General features: G+C 40.9%; 1 protein-coding gene across 8 annotated transcripts in view; it reads left to right on the top strand.

Annotated features, from left to right (window-relative positions):
• Positions 1-24,014, top strand: part of TAOK3 (TAO kinase 3) — a 223,107-nt gene that overhangs the window by 149,406 nt on the left and 49,687 nt on the right. For all 8 annotated transcript variants that reach the window (NM_016281.4, NM_001346487.2, NM_001346493.2 and 5 more), the window contains 3 exons: positions 9,392-9,485; positions 10,507-10,588; positions 22,039-22,206. In NM_016281.4, the coding sequence (NP_057365.3) occupies positions 9,392-9,485; positions 10,507-10,588; positions 22,039-22,206 (344 nt within the window). The remainder of the gene's footprint in view (positions 1-9,391; positions 9,486-10,506; positions 10,589-22,038; positions 22,207-24,014) is intronic.

The raw sequence follows: 24,014 nt of genomic DNA, 5'->3' as shown, positions 1-24,014 counted from the left end.
GGTGCCGGGCGCCTGTAGTCCCAGCTATTCAGGAGGCTGAGGCAGGAGAATGGCGTGAACCCGGGAGGCAGAGATTGCAGCGAGCCAAGATCACGCCATTGTACTCCAGCCTGGGCGACAGAGCGAGACTCTGCCTCAAAAATGGCCAGGCGTGGTGGCTCACGCTTGTAATCCCAGCACTTTGGGAGGCCGAGGCGGGCGGATCACGAGGTTAGGAGATCGAGACCACAGTGAAACCCCGTCTCTACTAAAAATACAAAAAAATTAGCCGGGCGTGGTGGCGGGCACCTGTAGTCCCAGCTACTCGGAGAGGCTGAGGCAGGAGAATGGCGTGAACCTGGGAGGCAGAGCTTGCAGTGAGCCGAGATCACGCCGCTGCACTCCAGCCTAGGCGACAGTGCGAGACTGCGTCTCAAAAAAAAAAAAAAAAAAAAAAAAAGAAAGAAAGAAAAGAACCCTTATACCTTTTCAGGTAGTGTTTATCTAAAGATAGGCGTACTCTTTCATTTTCCTTAGTAAAATTAAGCCCAGTAGACACTCTGATTTATTTTATTTTGTTTTTTACATTTTTTTATTTCAATAGCTTTTGTAGTGCAGGTGTTTTTTTGTTTACATGGATGAATTATATAGTGGCGAATTCTGAGATTTTAGTGCACTTGTCACCTGAGTACTGTACATTGTACCCAATACGTAGTCTTTTATCCCACACCCCCTCCTACCCTTCCTCTTCTGAGTCTCCAAAGTCCATTAGATCCCTCTGTATGCCTTTGTGTATTCATAGCTTAGCACCCACTTGTAAGTGAGAATATAATGCTGTTTGGTTTTCCAATCCTGAGTTACTTCTCTTAGAATAATTGCCTCCAGCTCCATTCAAGTTACTGAGAAAGACATTATTTCATTACTTTTTCTGTCTGAGTAGTACTCCATGGTGTATATATACCACATTTTCTTTCTTTCTTTTTTTTTTTTCGAGAGGGAGTCTCACTCCATCGCCAGGCTGGAGTACAGTGGCATGATCTTAGCTCACTGCAACCACCGCCTCCCGGGTTCAAGCAATTCTCCTGCCTCAGCCTCCCAAGTAGCTGGGACTACAGGCACGTGCCACCACACCCAGCTAATTTTTGTATTTTTAGTAGAGACGGGGTTTCACCCTGTTAGCAAGGATCATCTCGATCTCTTGACCTCGTGATCCTCCGACCTTGGCCTCCCAAAGTGCTGGGATTATAGGCGTGAGTCACCACGCCTGGCCACCACATTTTCTTTATTTACTCCTTGGTCAGTGGGCACTTAGGTTCATTCCATATCTTTCCGTTTGTAAATTGGGCTGTGATAAACATACATGTAGGCACTCTAATTTAGTTTACTCTTTACCAAGCAGAGCAGTATCCAGAAACTTGATCAAACTGACCTTCCTGAACCTTGATCTTACATGACAGAGATTGATCATACACAGAAACTTGATCTTTGTCTCTAAGTTAAAGGGAAACTACTGTTTTTTCTTTTAATGTAGCTAGCTCAACGTTTGTATGCTTCTACCTTTTTCCTTTCATTTAAGAATATATGTATTCTGCCAGGCGCAGTGGCTCACGCCTGTAATCCCAGCACTTTAGGAGGCCGAGGCGGGCAGATCATGAGGTCAGGAGATCAAGAACATCCTGGCTAACACAGTGAAACCCCATCTCTACTAAAAATACAAAAAATTAGCCGGGCGTGGTGGCGGGCACCTGTAGTCCCAGCTACTCGGGAGACTGAGGCAAGAGAATGGCGTGAACCTGTGAGGCAGAGCTTGCAGTGAGCTGAGATCGCGCCACTGCACTCCAGCCTGGATGACAGAGCAAGACTCTGTCTCAAAAAAAAAAAAAAAAAAGGTTATATGTATTCCGTATCACAAGGTGACTTCTTCAGAAGCGTTCCCAATTCCTATTCTGCTGCATATGTAGAAGAAGCTTTATTCAAACTACTATATTTTGCTGGGCACGGTGGCTCATGCCTATAATCCCAGCACTTTGCACTTTGGGAGGCCGAGGCAGGTGGTTCACCTGAGGTCAGGAGTTTGAGACCAGCCACCTGGCCAACATGGAGAAACCCTATCTCTACTAAAAATACAAAAATTAGCTGGGCACAGTGGCACATGCCTGTAATCCCAGCTACTCAGGAGGCTGAGGCAGGAGAATCTCTTGAGCCTGGGAGGCGGAGGTTACAGTGAGCCCAGATCATGCCTCTTCACTCCAGCCTTTGCTACAGAGCGAGACTCTGTCTCAAAAAAAGAAAAAAAAAAGAAAAGAAAACTGCTATATTCTACAATAAGTATTGACAAACTTTCTGTGAGGGACCAGATAATAAGCATTTTAGGCTTTGGAAGCTATCTAATGTCTATCATAACTACTCAACTTTGCCGCTGGAGGATGAAAGCAGTCATAGACAATACATTAATGTACAGGCATGGCTGTGTTCCAATAAACTTACAAAAGCAGGCTGATAGCTGAATTTGGCCCATGGGCCATAGTTTGCCAGCCCTTGCTCTGTAGTATTCTGGCTCAGCAGTGAGCCTTGTCACCATTGCTCAGAGGATTTATTTATTACATCTAGCAAAGACTTGAACATAGATGAGATCACTTGAAGCTAATACTCAGAGAATGCTTCCCAGACTATAGAGCTGTTCTATGGTTAGAGTACCTTTAGTCATGTGCTTCTCTATTAAAATTATTTCTTCTACCATTACATGGTCAGCCATCTTTTCTGCTTGTTCCTAGGCAGAGTGCTTGCTACTTACAGGCCTTCTCTTTGCTGCTTCAAATCCAAGCCACTGCCTTTTATTGAACTGAGTTTTCTTTGTGTTTTTGTTCTTTCATCCTTTTCTTTTCAAATTTGTTTTTCTCTTGCTTCAGTCTCCTTTCCCTTCTGTTTCACTGTTTCTCCTATGCAATTCAGTGTTCTGAGAAGCTGGGATTGTTTTTTTTTAACCTTTTGCCAGTAAGTGGGAGGGTTCTGGTCCTTCTAATAGTGAATGAAGCCATCAAATAGTATCTGTCATGAGCCCCGAGACTTAGTGTCTTCTCAGTCATTTTTGTAATTTTGTAATTACTTACTGAACAAAGATTCTTTGTTTGTTGACAGAGTTTATTCTGTGCTTTAATTTCCCTCACCTTCATTTATTTATTTAAAAGTATTAGGGGCCACCTGCTGTGTACCAGGTACTGTTCTCAGCACTGAGAATGCAGAGATGAACATGATAGATGTTGTTCCTGCCCTCATGAAGTTTAGCAAAGAAGACACACATTAAATAAAGAACTAGGCTAGGCACAGTGGCTCATGCCTCTAATCCCAGCACTTTGGGAGGCTAAGGTGGGAGGATCGCCTGAGCCTGGGAGTTTGAGACAAGCTTGGGCAATATAATGAGACTTTATGTCTACGAAAACCTTAAAAAAATTAGCCAAGCATGGTGACGTGTGCCTGTAGCTGCGGCTACTAGGGAGGGTGAGGTAGAAGGATGGCTTGAGTGAGAAAGAGAGAGGGAGGAAAGGAAGGAAGGGGGGAGGGTTGGAGAGAGGGAGGAAAGAAGGAAGGAAGAAAATAATTATGCAAATAAGCCAGGCATGGTCGCTCATGCCTATAATCCCAGCACTTTGGGAGGTTGGGGCGGGCAGATCGCTTGAGCCCAGGAGTTTGAGACCAGCCTAGGCAACATAGCAAAACCCCATCTCTAAAAAAAAAAAAAAAAAAAAAAAAAAGCCAAAAAAGTAGCTGGACTTAATGGCTCATGCCTATAATCCCAGCTACTCAGGAGACAGAAATGGGAACATCACCTGAGCCCAGGAGGTCAAGGCTGCAGTGAGCTGAGATGCACTCCCTCCAGCCTGGGTGACAGAGTAAGACCCTGTCTCAAAAAAATTACACAAATAACTAGGGCTGTGATATGTGGAAGAAAGCAAAAAATATAATTTGCAATGACAAAATCTAATAGGAGACCTAGTCTGAGAGGTCAGGGAAGGTTTCCCTGAGGAAGTGATTATAAACACATAATGAATCCTGAATACATACTTATTAAATTCATGTAGAAATGAAATTATATTTGAGATGAAACCTGAAAGGATTGTCGAGAATTAGCCTGTAATACTAGCACTTTGGGAGGCTAAGGGAGGAGGATCACTTGAGCCCATGAGTTTGAGGTTGCAATGAGCTGATCACGCCACTGCACTCCAGCCTGGGCAACAGAGCAAGACCCCGACACACACACACATACACAAAAAGATGTACCCAGATAAAGTTTAGGGAGCAAAAGGGAGAGGGGTGTCCAGACCAAGAAAACAGCATTTGTGAAAAACACCGAGCTTGGTTCTTTGAGTGAAGCACACGTAAAGCATGAGAGAGGGAAAAATAGGTTACTTCTCAGAATCGGGCTCTGGAAGTAGCCAGTCCCATGATAATGAAGTCCAAGAGACTATGTTTAAGGATTTGGACTTTGGCCTAAGAATGATGGGAAGCCATTGATGGTTACGTGATGAGTTCCTAGTTCCACGTGGTTTTATTTATTTAGTTATTTATTTATGAGACAAGGTCTCACTCTGTCACCCAGGCTGGAGTGCAGTGGTGTGATCTCGGCTCACTGCAACCTCCACCTCCCAGTTCAAGTGATTCTCCTGCCTCAGCCTCCCAAGTAGCTGGGATTACAGGCACAAGCCACCACGGCCTGGCTAATTTTGTATTTTTAGTAGAGACGGGGTTTCACCATGTTGGCCAGGCTTCCACGTGGTTTTAAATACGGTTGGTCCTCCAAATCTGTGGGTTCCACATCCATGAATTCAATCAGCCACAGATCAGAAATATTCAGGAAAAAAAAAGGAGGGTTGAGTCTTTATAGGAAATTGTTTAGGAAATAATGACAAGAAAATGTCTATACAAGTCTGAACATGTATAGACTTTTTTTCTTCTCATTATTTTCTAAACAATGCGGTATAACTATTTACATAACATTTACATTACACTAGATATCATAAGTAATCTAGAGATGATTTAAAGTATACAGACAGAAGGATGTGTGCAGGTTACATGCAAATACTATGCCATTTTATATAGGAAACTTGAGATCCATGGATTTTGGTATATGCAGGGGGGAACGGGAACCAGTCCCCCACAGATACCTAGGGATGACTGTACTTGAAGTTGCCAGAAAGCAAGCTCTGCAAACTTTCTAAAATCTGCCCCCTGAAAAATAAACCCAAACCAGATTTTTTTAATCTTTTGCATTTGAAACAGATATAAATCCATTCGACCACACAGCAACTTCCAAATTTCCACTTGTTAACAGTTCATATCACTGTAATACCAGTATCTGTTTGGTAAGTATAAAGTATCCTATTGAGAGGTCAATAAAAAATACTTGGGAGGCCAAGGCGGACGGATCACAAGGTCAGGAAATCGAGACCATCCTGGCTAATATGGTGAAACCCCGTCTCTACTAAAAATACAAAAAAATTAGCGAGGCGTGGTGGCATGCGCCTGTAGTCCCAGCTACTCGGGAGGCTGAGGCAGAAGAATCACTTGAACCTGGAGGCAGAGGTTGCAGTGAGCCTAGATCACGCCACTGCACTCCACCCTGGTGACAGAGCGAGACTCCGTCTCAAAAAAAAAAAAAAAGTGTATATATATATATATATATATATATATATATATATATATATATATGTATACACACACACACACATACATACATACATATACATATATACATAAAATACATATATATACATAAAATTAACTGTCTATATATAGAGAGAGACTACTATATTTCATTTTTTTTAATTTATTTTTTATTTTTGAGATGGAGTCTCACTCCATCACTCAGGCTGGAGTGCAGTGGCATGATCTCAGCTCATTGCAACCTCCGCCTCCCGGGTTCAAGTGATTTTCCTCTCAGCCTCCCAAGTAGCTGGGATTACAGGCGCATGCCACCAGGCCTAGCTAACTTTTGTATTTTTAGTAGAGACAGGGTTTTACCATGTTGGCCAGGCTGGTCTTGAACTCCTGACCTCAGGTGATCTGCCCGCTTAGTCTCCCAAAGTTCTGGGATTGTAGGCATGAGCCACCATGCCTGGCCTAGACTACTGTATTTCAGAGGTACAGAAATCACTTAATCAAGACTATAAGATGCCCCTCCAAAATATAACAAATGAATAGGTATAGTTGTCATCTGCTTAAGTGCTACTAAATGACTTAAAGTTTACTACTTTTCAACCTTGTCCATTCTGGTTTCTTGTTTTGTGTTTTAACTACTCTGGCTGTGTCCAAATTTTTCCTTCTGTGAGTGAAAATGTCTTTTCTATAACTTCACCTCTTAGCCTTGTTCTGTTTTTTGAACTGCATAGAATAAGCCCGATTTGTCATTTTAGAAGTGGTTAATAGAAGAAGAGCCTTTACTTAAAAACTAAGGTGCTCTGATGAAACTAGAGATCAGATTATGAATTAGAAAGTGAGACTATATAAAAAATCCATTAGGGTAAGCACAGTAGAAAGAGATAGTGATTTATCTTCTTCTTCTCTTCCTTTTCTTTTTCTTTTTTTTTTTTTTTTTTTGAGATGGAGTCTCACTCTGACGCCCAGGCTGGAGTGCAGTGGCACGATCTCGGCTCACTGCAGGCTCCGCCTCCTGGGTTCACGCCATTCTCCTGCCTCAGCCTCCCAAGTAGCTGGAACTACAGGTGCCCGCCACCACGCCTGGCTAATTTTTTTGTATTTTTAGTAGAGACAGGGTTTCACCGTGTTAGCCAGGATGGTCTCGATCTCCTGACCTCGTGATCCACCCACCTCAGCCTCCCAAAGTGCTGGAATTACAGGCGTGAGCCACCGTGCCTGGCCTGATAGTGATTTATCTTCTATTCCGTAACAACTAATAAATACCATAAAATTAACTGTACTCAGAACTAGAGCCTTGTTTCTTTCCTTTGATCCACAAATGGAACCCCTAATATGTGAATCACATTTTATTACAAATTCTGGGGGAATAAGTAAAAGAAAAAGAATATTCAGGTTATAAGATCTTGTGCTCTTAGAGCTTATGATTTCTTTTGAGAGAAAAGATTTGTATGATGATGTAGATATGATAGGTGAGCACATGCCAAATGACCAGTATGCCAAGGGAGAGTTGGAGGAGTTCCAATAAAGAGATCGTGGTGGGCTGGGGAGGAGTAAATCCTCTACCAGGAAATACCTGGCCAGATACAGTGCATCATGCCTATACTCCCAGCACTTTGGGAGGCTGAGGCAGGAGGATAGCTTGAGCCCACAAGTTCAAGACCAGCCTGGTTTAAGACGGGGTCTCACTCTGTTGCCCAGGCTGGAGTGCAGGGGCCGATCTCAGCCCACTGAAACCTCCACCTCCTGGGTTCAAGTGATTCTTCTGCCTCAACCTCCCAAGTAGGTGGGATTACAGGCTTGTGCCAACATGCCCGGTTAATTTTGTATTTTTAGTAGAGACAATTTTCACCATGTTGCCCAGGCTGGTCTCGAACTCCTGGCCTCAGGTGATCTGCCGGCCTCGGCCTCCCAAAGTGTTGGGATTATAGGTGTCAGCCAACGCGCCCAGCCTCTATACAAAAAAAAAAAAAAAATTGTTTAAATTAGTCCAGCGTGGTGGCACACACCTGTAGTCTCAGCTACTCAAGAGGTTGAGGATCTCATGAGCCTGAAAGGTCAAGGCTATTGTGAGCCCTGATTGTGCCACTGCACTCCAGCCTGGGCAACAGGGCAAGTCCTCATCTCAAAAAATAAATAATTAAAAAATAAATGCCTGACTCACTGAGTTTCTCTTTAGAGTGGGATGGACCAGACTTTATTTATAATTTATAGTTCTCTTCCTCCTTTCCATTTCTCTCTCTACTGTCACCCCTAGCAATTATTTGGCCTGAATCAGGCATCAGACAGTATTTACTGAATATAATTGGCTTATCTCTCATGCTCTGTTAGTGATTTTTGTTGTTGTTGTTGTTCTTTTGAGACAGAGTCTCACTCTGTCACCCAGGCTTGGGTACAGTGGCGCGATCTTGGCTTACTGCAAGCTCTGCCTCTCGGGTTCATGCCATTCTCCTGCCTCAGCCTCCCGAGTAGCTGGGACTACAGGTGCCTGCCACCATGCCCAGCTAATTTTTTTGTATTTCTTTTTTTTTTTTTTTTTTGTAGAGACGGGCTTTCACCGTGTTAGCCAGGATGGTCTCGATCTCCTGACCTCGTGATCCACCCGCCTCGGCCTCCCAAAGTGCTGGGATTACAGGCGTGAGCCACCGCGCCCGGCCATTTTGTTAGTGATGTTTAAGATGTTTCATTATGGGACTGGGTGCAGTGGCTCACGCCTGTAATCCCAGCACTTTTGGAGGCCAAGACGGGTGGATCACGAGGTCAGGAGTTCGAGACCAGCCTGGCCAATATAAGGAAACCCCCTCTCTACTAAAAATACAAAAATTAGGCCGGGCGCAGTGGCGCATGCCTGTAATCCCAGCACTTTGGGAGGCTGAGGTGGGTGGATCACCTGAGGCTGGGAGTTCAAGACCAGCCTGACCAACGTGGAGAAACCCCATCTCTACTAAAAATACAAAATTAGCCGGGCATGGTGGCTCATGCCTGTAATCTCAGCTACTCAGGAGGCTGAGGCAGGAGAATTGCTTGAACCTGGGAGGCGGAGGTTGTAGTGAGCTGGGATCGTTCCATTGCACTCCAGCCTGGGCAACAAGAGCGAAACTCCATCTCAAAAAAAAAAAAAAAAGAAAGAAAGAAATTAGCCATGCACGATGTCAGGCACCTGTAGTCCCAGCTACTCAGGAGGCTGAGGCAGGAGAATCACTTGAACCCAGGAGGCAGAGGTTGCAGATCGTGCCACTGTACTCCAGCCTGAGCAACAGAGCAAGACTCCGTCACAAAAAAAAAAAAAAAAGTTGCATTTTATAGTAATCTTTTTTCCTTATTCTATGTTTCTTTGCTTTCTGACTTTTTTAAGTGAATATGAATTTTTTTCTTTTTCTTTTTCACCAAATACCCAGACTTCAAGGAGAGAATATATATTTTTGAGCTAAAACGCACATGCAAAGATCTTCATACCTATTGTGGGAAAATATGCAAAAGCCAATTTTTTGAAGCTATGTGAAAAAAAGAAAAAAACTTTTCTTTCACTCTTTTGAAATGAGTTCTGTTAGGAGCTTTGCCAATGTACATTTAATGTCCGGCAGCTTCTTCTGAATGGCTATCTTGGGCCAACCTTAGAGATTAAAATAAGTGGATTATGTGGCATGATGACAGTAATGAGCTATTGATTTAGCCGCAAAGCTTTGCTCATAGTTTCTTATTTCTCTGTCTGCCTGGTTTCCTTCAAGAACTACTTTATTGTGTTTCTTTCCTCTTCCAGCGGAACGGAAGCCGCCCCTTTTCAACATGAATGCAATGAGTGCCTTATATCACATTGCCCAGAATGACTCCCCAACGTTACAGTCTAATGAATGGTAAGACTCTGCTATCATTTTAAATCTCTAAGAAAATCACCGTATGTATTTGACATTTTTATTACATTACATTTTAAATATCTGACCTAGAAAGCATTTCTTTCCTTCACTGTATGTTGTTACAAGTGACACTGATGCCTCACAAGCATCAACTGTCTACACATGCACACATGCATAGATTTTCTTATTTTTGCCTTCACCATGGCTTGCACTGTGTTCTTAATGTGTCTAGTAACCAAAATCCTGCAGGGAACATGCCCTGCTACCCTCCTAACAAGTCTATTGTCCCAGGTCATGATGGTCTTGTATTGATCATCTCAGCTGATATCACTTCTCAGCAGAGATAAGGGGCCCTCTATGATGTCATTATTTCTCCAGTTGTCTTTTTTTTTTTTAAACTATATGTACACTTAAATGTGTTGAGACAGAGCATACATTATCTATTCAGATACAGTGTTCCTTGCTGAAAAGTATGACATTTTTATAACTATTTGGGCCACAAGAGTTATTTTAAAAGGGGCAATATTAAAGAAGAACGGATAAAATGGAACTTTTAAGATAGGAAGAATTTTTGTTCAGGAAGCCTACTCCTGGGTTCTCCATCCCTCATGCTTCAAATTTTACTACTTTGTTATAGATTGTGGGTGGTAGAGGAATTAACAATTGGTAATTAAGAATATAGAGTTGAGACTATGAGAATTGTTGTCTTTGGAGAGAAAAATGTATATAAAACTTTTATTTAAACATAGTATTTTTGTTTTCTGATGTATATTATGATTTGACCTTCCTTATATATTAAGATGTATTAATATGTTGACTAACTTGAAACTTGTCCTCACTCATTATCCAAAAGAATTTTAGATATCGTAACTTGAAAATGCTCCAGTTATCCTGATATTCCAAAGCATTTTTTTAAAATCTCCTTAAATGCAAAATTTTCCCTTGAATGAAAATTGTTTTAAGTAATCAGTGTGCTCTACAGACCCTGAGTTTATTTTCTTTTGTGTATTTGCACACACAGGACAGACTCCTTTAGGAGATTTGTTGATTACTGCTTGCAGAAAATACCTCAGGAAAGGCCAACATCAGCAGAACTATTAAGGGTAATTTTTCAAATTTATATTTGAGGAGGGGGATTTAAAGTCATGTTATAATGGAATATAATAAATCATTCCTGTGGCAGCTCATCATGACAAAGTGGTTTAGGACGTGCTGCCTTGTCATTTATCCTGAGATAAGTAGCTAGGCATAGAAATAGCAAGATTATTGCAACGTTATGTGCTATGTATTCCCTGTGGATAGGTTTTTCCCTATCTTTTCTATTTTTTCCCCTCCCTCCCTGTTCCTTTTTTGCCTTATAACAAATAATATTTCTCCTCCTTGCTCTAGTCATCATTGTGATGTTCCTGGGCCTAACATCTGCATAAACATTAATCCAGTGGTCTCAGGACAGAGCTGGCTGGTGGTTCAAACACCAACTCTGGGATTTTCAGTTAGGTTGTTGCCAAATCCTCAGGCAGTGAAGGTGTATGATAACTATATAGAGTAGACATTTACATAGTATTATGACATGTTAGTGATAAGAGTATCGTGTTAACCACATTTATTTGATTTAATTATCACCAAGCATCTCTTTTCATGTAATATTTTACTGTAGACTTTATACATAGGCAGTGTGTTGCATCAATATCAGTGTAGTATGTGGAAATCTTTTACAGTAGAAGTGTTTTCTTTTATTTGGCGCACAATAGTCCAAATTTCTTTAATCCTTCTTTTGCATGTTTGTTTTTCAACCCTTTCTGTTTCTTCCGTCTCTAGAATGGCTGGCTTTTATTGTATAGCAGTTCTGTTTGTTCGTTTTTAAGAAGAACTCAGAAGAGTTGTATTGCCTCAATTTGTAAAGCTTAAAAATGTTTGCCTTTATAATTTAAGAACACCTTGGCTAGGTGACAAGTTTTTACTTCTTGTGAGCGGTAGGCCACAGGAGTATGGTAAGAGAAGCAACAGGACAAAGAGCTTGATCTTGTTCTCCTTTGTTGTGGAGCCCTTACATGTTTTAAACATGAACTACTTAGCAACAATTCCATGTTTCTTTAGGGGAAAATAGCAACCAGAACAAAACACCAGAAACACACAATAATATCTTTATTACCTTGAAGTACACAAAGATCTTAAAAACAAACAAACAAAAAACCAAGACATAAAAATTACTACCATAAAAGGGGAAAAAATGTGGAGCTGGGTATGGTGGCTCACGCCTATAATCCCAGCATCTCAGGAGGCTGAGGCAGGAGGATCACGTGAGCCCAGGATTTTGAGGTTATAGTGAGGTATGATTGTGCCACTGCACTCCAGCCTGGGCAATAGAGTGAAAATACCATCTCTTTAAAAAAAAAAAAAAAAGGAAAATATGAATAAATTTGGGCGATGTTAAAAGTTAAGGGTTACAGACAACAAAAGGATATAAAAAGCAAATGGGTAGAGGTAAAGAAAAAAATGGAAGAGAAAAAACATAACAGTTTAAAAAATCATATTATAAGCAACGAACATGTAGTAAACCAACCCATTTAGGATGTTTCCAATGGTGAATAGGCTTAAGGAAATAAAATAGAATTAAGTGCAAAAAATAAAACTTCTAAAGATGAATATAAAGAAAATGATACATTTGGAAGACACAGGAGATCTAATATATGCCAACCGATTATTCCTGAAAAAGAAAACAAAACACATGGAGGAGAAGATTTTTAAAGATATCCTTGAAGAAAACTTTTCTGGAAATGTTTGGATCTTCCTTTGATTTGATTCCATCTTGATTTGATGGACCAAATCAAATGGGCCAACTATTTATTCAACAAATATTTACTGATTGTCTGCTGGGTGTCAAGTACTATTCTAAGCGCAGAGAATACAGTAGTACACAATAAAAACATAGTGCCTGCCCTTGTGAAACTTACAAGAAGGAGTAAGAAATAAATAAGTAGGCCGGGCGTGGCGGCTCATGCCCGTAATCCCAGCACTTTGGGAGGCCAAGGTGGGAGGATCAGGAGGTCACCAGTTCGAGACCAGCCTGGCCAACATGGCGAAACCCCGTCTCTACTAAAAATACAAAAATTAGCTGGGCATGGTGGCAGGCACCTATATTCCCAGCTACTCAGGAGGCTAAGGCAGGAGAATCACTTGAAGCCGGAAGGCGGAGGTTACAGTGAGCCAAGATAGCACCACTGCTCTCCAGCCGGGGCAACAGAGCGACACTAGGTCTCAAAAAAAAAAAAAAAAGAAAAAAGAAAAGAAATAAATATATGTTATAGTGCCAGTTGATGTTAAGTGTTGTGCAGAAAAATAAATTAGACAAGCATCAAGATTGACAGGTGCTGCTATTTTAGGTAAGGAGAAGGCCGTTCGAGGAGGTAACATTTAAGCAGATACATGCATGAAGAGGGGGACCATGAAACTGATCTTCATTGATCAGTAAATCATATCCTGGTGAAGTCCCTGAACTCTAGGAATAAAGAAAGATTCATACAAGCAGACTGAAAAAGTTTATTTTGGGGTGGAAAAACCAACTGACTCCAGACCTACCTCTTCAGGAACAGTCAAAGCCAGAAAACAATAGAACAGTGTTTGCAGAGTTCTAAGGGAAATAAAATATAAGCCAGGAATTGTGAGCCAGCCAAGATGTTCTTAAATTATAAAGGCAGCTGACATCTTCGAGCCCCACACATTTAGGCAATGCAACCTTTCGGCGCTTTCCTTTTAAAAATTGCTCAATAACAGAATCTAGCCAATATAGAGATGAAGCAAAAAGAAGAAAAAGAGGGAGGAAGGCAAGCAGGAAGAATGAATGAGGGACTGGAGAAACTGGTAAAAGGGCTGATGGTAAATATTGAATTTAAAGAGGCCCCTCCCCAAATACTTATTTATTTATTTTGCATGGCTAAAGAAGCTGTATGTTCTTCATTTTAAATAGGTCTCACAAATTTCCAAAAGGAAAAATACAGTAGAAGGTACAACCTGGGGCTGGGCACAGTGCCTTACACCTGTAATCCCAGCACTTTGGAATGCTGAGGCAGGCAGATCACTTGAACCTAGGTGTTCAAGACCAGCCTGGACATGACAAAACCCCATCTCTACAAAAATTAGCCAGGTGCAGTGGCATGCGCCTTTAGTCCCAGCTGCTTCGGAGGCTCAAGGAGGAGAATCACTTGAGCCTGGGAGGCAGAGGTTGCAGTGAGCCGAGATCCTGCCATTGCACTTCAGCCTGGGTGATGGGAGTAAAACCCTGTCTCAAAAAAAAAAAAAGAAGAAGAAGAAGAAGAAGAGCCGGGTGCAATGGCTCACACCTATAATCCCAGCACTTTAGGAGGCCAAAGCAGGCAGATCACCTGAGGCCAGAAGTTCAAGACCAGCCTGGCCAACACGTAGAAACCCCATTTCTACTAAAAATATAAGTATTAGCCAGGCATGGTGGTTCACACCTGTAGTCCCAGCTAATCGAGTGGCTGAGGCAGGAGAATCGCTTGATCAACTAGGAGGTTGCAGTGAGCCGAGATTGTGCCCCTGCACTCCAGCCTGGGCAACAGCAAGACTCTGTCTCAAAAAATAATAAGAGAAGGTAGAACATGAAAAAGAAATCTCCCTCCCATTTCAGGCCCCCTCACTAGCAACCACTGCACCTATTTTGTACCTCTCCTTCTAGTGATATTTTATGCATATAAAAGTAAATGTTGTTTTTATTTTTGCACAAATGACAGCAAACCATAAAAACCGTTCCACCCTGATTTTTCTTTTTGCTTTACAGTGTGCTTAGGATATTGTTTTGTATTACTACATGCAAAGCTACCTCATTCTTTTTAATGGCTCCATAATATTCTTAGATGGACCATAATTTGTTTAACCAACGCATTTAGGATGTTTCCAATCTTTTGCTATTACAAACTGTGCCGTAATGAATATCTTTGTGTATATGGCATTTTGTCCCTGTATAAGAATATCTAAAGAATAAATTCTGGCCGGGCACGGTGGCTCATGCCTGTAATCCCAGCACTTTGTGGGGCCAAGGTGGGCAGATCACAAGGTCAGGAGTTCAAGACCAGCCTGGCCAAAATAGTGAAACCCCATCTCTCCTAAAAATACAAAAATTAGCTGGGCATGGTGGCATGCGTCGATAATCCCAGCTACTCGGGAAGCTGAGGCAGGAGAATCACTTGAACCCGGAAGGCGAAGTTTGCAGTGAGCCGAGATCGTGCCACTGCACTCCAGCCTGGGCAACAGAGCAAGACTCCATCTCAAAAAAATAAATAAATAAAAATAAAATAAAGAAATTCCTAGAAGTGGGATTGCTCATCAATGTGGATTTTAAATTTAGATAGATATTGCCCATTTGTCCTTCAAAGCAGTTGCACCAATTTATAGTCCCACCGTGAAAGTATGAAGACTGATACTTTTTGAACTTTGTCAGATCAGTGAAAACTTTTCTCACTATAGTTTTAATTGCTATTTCACATTATGGGAGATGTTGAACATCTCTCTCGTAAGTTGAAAAGCCATTTGTATTTCCTTTTTAATTTATAGTAGATCTTGGATTTTTTTTTTCCTATTTCTCTTTTGACATTCTTTATGCTGATGTTTTGTGGAAAGGAGGTGGGGAGAGTTATGCAAAAATTTGTTACAAGGAGTGAGGTAAAAATCTACCTTTTTTCCCCCAGCTAAGCTATCTACTTACTCCCAGATATTTTTCAATAATACATCTTTTCCATGCATTTTTGCCCTGACATTAAAACATCACTTTCACACTTAATCCATTTAAATAAACAACTGAGGTAAAATTATTGAAATGGTTAAAGGACAGATGTAAATGTTAGAAACATTTGCAATGTAAAAATAATGTAATTAGAAAAATCTAAGGGCAGGAAAAACGTATGCATACTAATTTCCTTATCTTTCCAAGTAGATGGACAATAACATTTCTTAAAATATATAGGACAAAAGAACTAAAGTAACTTCAATCTCGTAAAGCCTTTAATAATTTTTTTTTTAACTTTAGAGGATCTGTTAGGAACAGATAACTCTTTTGGTGAAGAAATTACAACTAAAGTTAAGCAATTGTTTTATTTTTTAATTTGTGCATGTGTGTGTGTGTGTGTGTGTGTGTGTGTGTGAGACAGAGTCTCGCGCCGTTGCCCAGGCTGGAGTGCAGTGGCGCGATCTCGTCTCACTGCAACCTTCGCCTCCTGAGATTCTCCCTAGCAATTCTCCTGCCCCAGCCTCCTGAGCAGCTGGGATTACAGGCACACGCCACCATGTCTGGCTAGTTTTTCTATTTTTAGTGGACACAGGGTTTCACCCTGTTGGCCAGGCTGGTCTCAAACTCCTGACCTCAAGTAATCCACCCGCCTCAGCCTCCCAAAGTGCTGGGATTACAGGCATGAGCCACTGCATACAGCCTATGCAATCGTTTTAATTCAGTCTCTTCTAATCCTGTTAAATTCAAATATACCTTAATTAAATCGATTATACATAAAATTAGCTTGTATAATCAGATTCCCATGTAAAATGATTTCTAGTTATTCATTGTTCTGAGAGAAAGAAAGGGACATGTCTAAAATGATATTCTGTAACTTAATATTTATGTATTTATTTCGAGATGGTAGAATTTCGGGTGATTTTCTTTCTTTTTTTTTTTTTTTTCCTGAGACGGAGTTTCGCTCTTGTTGCCCATGCTGGAGTGCAATGGCACGATCTCGGCTCATGGCAACCTCTGCCTCCCTGGTTCAAGCGATTCTCCTGCCTCGCCCTCCCTAGTAGCTGGGATTACAGGCATGTGCCACCACGCCCGGCTAATTTTCTATTTTTAGTAGAGACAGGGTTTCTCCATGTTGGTCAGGCTGGTCTCGAACTCCTGACCTCAGATGATCCACCCTCCTCGGCCTCCCAAGGTGCTGGGATTACAGGCATGACCCACCGTGCCTGGCCGATTTTCTTTTTTTATACATTTTTCTGTGTTATTTGAGTGTTGAAAGTAAACATATTTTTGAGAACAATAAAATTGTCCTTTTAAAAGAGTCCGAGGGCATTCCAGTTGTAGGGGTTTGGAGAACAGTGGGCTTTTAAAAACAATGAGGAGGCCGGGTGCAGTGGCTCACGCCTGTAATCCCAGCACTTTTGGAGGCTGAGGTGGGCAGATCACGAGGTCAGGAGATTGAGACCATCTTGGCCAACATGGTGAAACCCCATCTCTATTAAAATACAAAAAATTAGCTGGAAATGGTGGTGCATGCCTGTAATCCCAGCTACTTGGGAGGCTGAAACAGGGGAATTGCTTGAACCCGGGAGGTGGAGGTTGCGGTGAGCTGAGATGGCGCCACTGCACTCCAGCCTGGCGACACAGCAAGACTCTGTCCCAAAAAATAAAAATAAAAAAAAACAATGAGGAGATGGGATTGCAGGCAGAGAGAACATAGAGATGTGAAGGCAAAGGCCTAGAGGTGTGAAAGGTATGCACGGGTTTAGAATTACCTAGAATGTACCTAGAATTGTGTAGGAAGGAGGAGTAGCAATGACTAGATTTAAACCTAGAAATACAAGCAGGAACCTGGCTGTAAAAGGCTACACTTTATCTAAGAGACAGTGAGATATTAAGATGTAGAGTGTATCTGTTTGTAAAAGGTTTAAACAGGTAAGAGTTTATCTCATGTAATAGGAAGTCCAGGACATTGGAAAAGGAAGTGGCGTAAGCAGTCCAAAGCTCTAAGCAGCTCAACAATGTCGTCATCGACCCAAGCTCTTTCTCTCTTTCTACTTCACCATCCTTAGCATGTAGCTTTTATTGTCTTTGTCATAAAATGGCTGCTACATTGCCATGACTCAAGTTTTCATTCCAGGCAGGAAGAAGGAGAGAGAACAAAGGGTAAAACACCTTGTCCTCATGTGTCTTGCCTTTTTATTCTAGAAAATAAAACCTTCCTTGAGAACTTCTGCCTACCTCTCACTGGCCAGAACTTAGTCACTTAGTGATCTGTAACCACAAAGAAGGCTTGGGTTCAGTTCCTTTACTTCCTAGTGCTTCAAGTAAGGCAAAAAAAAAAAAAAGAGAGAGAGAGAGATTGGGTCTGAAAGCTGTGGCTCATGCCTGTAATCCCAGCACTTTGGGAGGCTGAGGTGGGTGGATCACCTAAGGTCAGGAGTTTGAGACCAGCCTGGCCAACATAGTGAAACCCCATCTCTACTAAAAATACAAAAAGTAGTTGGGCGTAATGGTGCACGCCTGTAATCCCAGCTACTGGGGAGGCTGAGGCACAAGAATCACTTGAACCTGGGAGGCAGAGTTTGCAGCGAGCTGAGATTGCACCACTGCACTCTAGCCTGGGTGATAGAGTAAGACTTTGTCTCAAAAAAAAAGAAGTTGGAATGGGGGAATGACATGTAGTATCTGTTGCAATGAATGATCATACCTGTATTTTAGAAAGATAATTATGGTAGTAGGACACCAGAAAATAACCACCACCACCCACACCCCTGGCAGAAAAAAATTTTTAAAGCCTGAGTTGCAGCCGTAGCTCTTCTACTAATTAGCTATGGAAATCACCTAACTTCTCAGGGCCCAAATTTTCTCACTTTGAAAAAGAAAAATTTTCTTTCTTTTTTTTTTTTTGAGACAGAGTCTTTCTATGTCACCCAGGCTGGAGTGCAGTGGCCTGATCTCGGCTCATTGCAAGATCTGTCTCCCAGACTCAATTGATTCTCGTGCCTCAGCCTCCCGAGTACCTGGGACTATAGGCGGGCACTACCACGCCTGGCTAATTTTGGTATTTTTTATTTTTACTTCTTATTTATTATTTTTATTTTTTTTAAACAGAGTCTCACTCTATCACCTAGGCTGGAGTGCAGTGGCATGATCTCGGCTCACTTCAGCCTCCTTCTCCCAAGTTCAAGCAATTCTCCTGCCTCAGCCTCCCGAGTAGCTGGGACTACAGGCACGTGCCAACATGCCCTGCTAATTTTTGTATTTTTAGTAGAGACGGAGTTTCATCATGTTGGCCAAGCTGGTCTTTGATACTCCTGACCTCATGTGATCCCCCTGCCTCGGCCTCCCCAAGTGCTGGGATTACAGTTGTGAGCCACCATGCCCGGTCCCTAATTTTGGTGTTTTTAGTAGAGATGGGGGTTTGCCATGTTGGCCAGGCAGCTCTTGAACTCTTAGTCTCAGGTGATCTGCCCGCCTTGGCCTCCCAAAGTTCCGGGATTACAGGAATGAGCCACCATGCCCAGCCTTGAAACAGAAAGTTTTCTAAGAGGCATTCCCGTTCTAAAATTCTATGATGTTAAGTCATAGCTTTAAGTTTACTAAAAACCGATTAGCTCTTTATAATTGTAAGCACTAGAGGAGGAAAATGATAATACTTTCTTCCTTTCTTTCTCATCCTTGAAATGTGCAGGCTACACTTGCTTCTGGGAATGATGTTTTTTATTCAAAAAGGACTCTACCTAGGAAGAGGTATTTTATAAAAGCAACAGCAAAAACCACAATTCCTCTAAGAGAGTCAGAATGCAGAACCACAAGACATATAGATTGTTTTCTCACAAGGGCCCTATTATTTTTTATCTGTTTAAATTATAAAGAAATTAAATTCATTTCATCAGCTAAGGCCCACTACATTATATCTCATTTTCCCAATGTCTTCAAATTACAATTTTACATAAGTAAATTTTCCACATAACTGAACTTTTGCCTTTAAAAAATAATGTCTTTTTTTTTTTTTTTTCCATTCTGTCACCCAGGCTAGAGTGCTGTGGTGCAATCTCGGCTCACTGCAACCTCTGCCTCCCAGATTCAAGCCATTCTCCTGCCTCAGCCTCCTGGCTTGCTGGGATTACAGGCATGCATCACAATGCCCAGCTAATTTTTTGTGTTTTTAGTAGAGACGGGGTTTCACCATGTTGGCCAGGCTAGTCTCAAACTCCTGACCTCAAGTGATCAGCCTGCCTCGGCCTTCCAAAGTGCTGGGATTACAGATGTGAGCCACCACGCCCAGCCTAATGTCACTTCTTGAGGGCTCAGAAACAGTGTTTCGTGAACTCTTGAGGCATAAAAGGGGCTATATAAGGGGCATTTGCCCTTTTGCAAAATAGCCCACAAACCTGTTTTATTATTATTTGTTTGGTTGATAGGTCTGTTAGTCATGAAATTTCTCTCTGTTTCTCTACTCTCAAGCTGTCAGAGAACTTACAAAAGCTACTTCTTTTTACAACAGGTGGTAACCCTACCTTTCCCAGTCCTCAATCCTTTACTCCTCACTCTTTTTTTTTTTTTTTTGAGATGGAGTTTCACTCTTTTTGCCCAGGCTGGAGTGCAATGGTGTGATCTCAGCTTACCGTAACTTCTGCCTCCCAGGTTCAAGCAATTCTGCTGCCTCAGCATCCCGAGTAGCTGGGATTACAGATGCACGTCACCATGCCCAGTTAATTTTGTATTTTTAGTAGAGAAAGGGTTTCACCATGTTGGCCAGGCTGGTCTTGAACTCCTGATCTCCAGTAATCCACCCGCCTCAGCCTCCCAAAGTGTTGGATTATAGGCGTGAGCCACCGCGCCAGGCTTACTTCTCCATTCTTATTCTCTGTCTAACCTGCTATGGGCTGAGAAACTAGGAAACCAGATTATGTAACAATCATTAATAATATTGAAAGTGAGGGATGTTTATATCAAGATTAATTTATGGACTTTAGGGCAGTTGTTTTCACTCCTCAGAGACCCTTTTTTTTAATTGGGGAAATGAAGTTGCCAGAATTTTGACCTCTGGATAAATTGAACAACTGGCATATTTTCAAGCATACACTATACGGCCACAGAAATAGAGAACAAAATATTCACAAGTCTGTTTTTCAAGGGATAGTGTGTATGGGGGTGAGGATTGAGGCAAGTTATAATAAGAATAGAACAAGGTGCGGTGCGGTGGCTCACGCCTGTAATCCCAACACTTTGGGAGGCTGAGGCGGGTGGATCACTTGAGCTCAGGAGTTTAAGACCAGCCAAGGCAACATGGTGAAACCTCGTCTCTACTAAAAATACAAAAATTAGCCAGGCATGGTGGTGCATGCCTGTAATTCCAGCTACTCGGGAGGCTGAGTCAGGAGAATTACCTGAACCCAGGAGGTGGAGGTTGCAGTGAGCCAAGATCGCACCACTGCACTCCAGCTTGGGTGAGAGAGCGAGACTCCATCTCAAAAAAAAAAAAAAAAAAAAAAAAGAATAGACTATACTATGCATTGCTTCTGCTTATTATGTAGTTTCAGATTTAAAAGGTACAAGCCTACCTCCTACTTCTTAAAGTTCTAGTGATTTTTTTATTACTTATATGATAAAGTAAACCTCAAGAATTCTTATATGAAAAGATACTCAACATTCACTAATTATTGGAAATGGAAATGAAAACCACAATGAGGTATCACCTCACACCTGTTAGAATGGCTATTATCAAAAAAGATAAGCGATAATAAGTGGCAAGGGTATAGAGAAAAGGGAATCCTTATATACTGTTGGTGGGAATGTAGATTGGGGTTGCCATTATGGAAAACAGTATGGAGGTTCCTCCAAAACCCAAAAAACAAAATGTTAATTTGTTCCAATAATCCCCCTGCTGGTTATATACCTGAAGAAAATGAAGTCAGCACCTCATAAAAATACCTGTGCCCCCATGTTCATCACAGCATTTTTCTCTATAGCCAAAATAAGGAAACATCCTATGTGTTCATCAGTGGATGAAAGGATAAAAGAAATTATGGTATATGTGATATAGATATTTAAGACTCAATAATATATATGACTGAATATTTTATTATATATATTTATTATATATTTGTTTATTTATAATATTTATTTTATATATAGTCTTAAGAAAGTGGGCCTGCCATTTGCAGCAATACATGTGAACCCAGAAGACATTATGCTAAGTGAGATAAACCAGACACACAAAAAAATAGCATATGATGTCACTTACATGTGGAAAGTAAACAAAGAATAAAACACAAAATGAAAGGTGGTTGAAAGGGATGGGGAATGGAAAGATGAAAGTCAAATGGTACAAAGTTTTAGTTATGTGGGATAAATAAGTGTAGAGATCCAGTGTACAGCATGAGGACTATAGTTGATAATATTGTATTATATCTGGGAAATTTGCTAAGACTAAAGATTTTCGGTACTTTGCCACCAAGAAGTAACTATATGAGATAATAGATATGTTAATTTGCTTAACTGTAGAAATCATTTCACTATATATATGTGTATCAAAACATGTTGCCATATACTTTAAATATGTACAATTTTTAAAAAGAATTCTCACATCCGCAAAATGGGGCTTAAGGAAGAAGAAAAAAGCATAGCTATCTCTTTATGAGATTTACAAAATATGGAAGGACACATGACATGAAAATCATATTTTGTTATTTCTGTAATATCCATAGAACTATTTTATGATTCTCTATTTCCTTTTATATCTGTACCTTGCACCTAAGGACATTTCTTCATTATCAGTTTATTTTTTCCTCCTCCCTCAATCAGCATGACTTTGTTCGACGAGACCGGCCACTACGTGTCCTCATTGACCTCATACAGAGGACAAAAGATGCAGTTCGTGAGCTAGATAACCTACAGTACCGAAAAATGAAAAAAATACTTTTCCAAGAGACACGGAATGGACCCTTGAATGAGTCACAGGAGGATGAGGAAGTAGGTTCAATTTATTTTAGCAGGCACTTATAGAATGCCCACTATGTGAAAAAGTTCTAGACTGGGCACTATGAAAAACTTTTGAAGATAAAAATTAATTGATGCTGTCCGCCTTAAGAAACATGAAGGGTTGTACAAGAGACATTCATAAAATAACACTTATATAAGGCAAAATATGAAAAGTGCTACAGAGGTGTAACCCCATTGCAGGGGTCCATCATGGGGAGAAAATAAGTCTGCTGGTGGGATTAGTGAAGGTTTCCTGGAGGACATGATGTGGGTAGTTTCTGACAAATGGGCATAGGGTGTTCTAGACTCAGAAAGGTGTTGTGCTTTAGGAAGATTATCCTAGCAACAGAGTGTAACATGGATTTGAATGGGCAACATCCTGGCTAATAGTCCATGCAAGAGGTAATAAGGTCAGTGTCGATGCAAATGGGGAAAAGGGAGCACTTTAGAGAAACATCGTAGAGGTAGATTTCATAATCCATGGCTTCTCATTGACAGTGACAGATAAGGAGGAGTTTAAGGTGACTCTGAGCATTGGAGCCTGGGTGGCTAGGAGTATGTCAATACCAAGAACAGAGAAAAAGAACCAGGGAGAAAGAGTAGATTTAGGATGATTTCAGTTTCGTGCCTTTTGAGTTTAAGGTCCTGGCATTATAAACTCTTGCCAGTATACAGATAGAAGTTTTCAGTTAGAGAATCCTTGATGACCTTAGTAAAAGCAGTTTTACAGGACTAGGTAGAATGAATAGTAGATTACTGGAGTTGTATAATTCATGGGAGTTGATAAGAGGGAGACAGGAAAAAATAATTATGTTAAGATTCAGAAATTGGGTTAAGAAGGAAAAGTAAGAGTGGGCAGCATGTAGAGAGATCCATAAATATAAGGCAGGCTTCTTCATCTTTAAATGCAGTAGAGATGGAGCCAGGGCAGAGTCAGAGGCACCGAAGATAGAAGAAAGGGATATAGTTAAAGAGGCAGGATTTCAGAACGTAGACATAACAAGAACAGGAGTATTTTAGCTTTTTAACAGAAAATAAAATAAACATAAAAGTATTTTATCAATAATTTTAAAAATGAAGCTCGGAAAGTTGCATTGAACTATAAAATTTCTTGATTGCATATATAGAAATGATCCCCTTTAATTGGGAAAATAAGTCTGTTAAAAATAATGTATTATCTTCCATTTTATATTACCCAGTAATTTTTTATATTGCCATGGCTAAGTAACAGTTTATTAAAGTTATATGTGTACCATATGGTTTTTTGAGAACAAGGTTTATTTGTAGCTAAATGGATTTAATTTTATTATTCAATCTTATATCAAAAGATATCCCACTGTGATGGATAAATTATATGTTCTGATTATTTTACCACTTTTCAAATAGTAGTCTTTGGGCCAGTAATGATGAATACCAGTATTATTTAACAGATATATATAATAAGATTACAGAGATAAGCATGATAGAATCGCTTGAGGGAGGCAGACTTTAATTACCTGTCCAGGAAAGTAGAATTAATATTTCTGCTTAGATATGAAGTTACTCAATAATGACTTGCAGAGGGAGCATATTGCTTGTCAAATATCTGAAAACTCTTTCCACTCTACTTTTTCAAGTGACCACTGCTGTATTTGAAGATATCCTAGAGCTCACCTGTTTAGTGGCCAGCAGTCTTCCTCTAGCTCCTTGATGTTCCAGAAGGTCCCTTACAAACCTGGCTTGATTTTGCTTACTGAATAGCAACACGATAATATGATAGTGTGTATGACAGGGGAAAGCCCTGGGATGGCAGCATTTGG

The sequence above is a fragment of the Homo sapiens genome, chromosome 12, assembly GCF_000001405.40.
Source record: "Homo sapiens chromosome 12, GRCh38.p14 Primary Assembly".
NCBI lineage: Eukaryota > Metazoa > Chordata > Mammalia > Primates > Hominidae > Homo > Homo sapiens.
The sequence above is the reverse complement of the archived record's forward strand: the minus strand, read 5'-3'. Positions and strand labels throughout refer to the sequence as shown.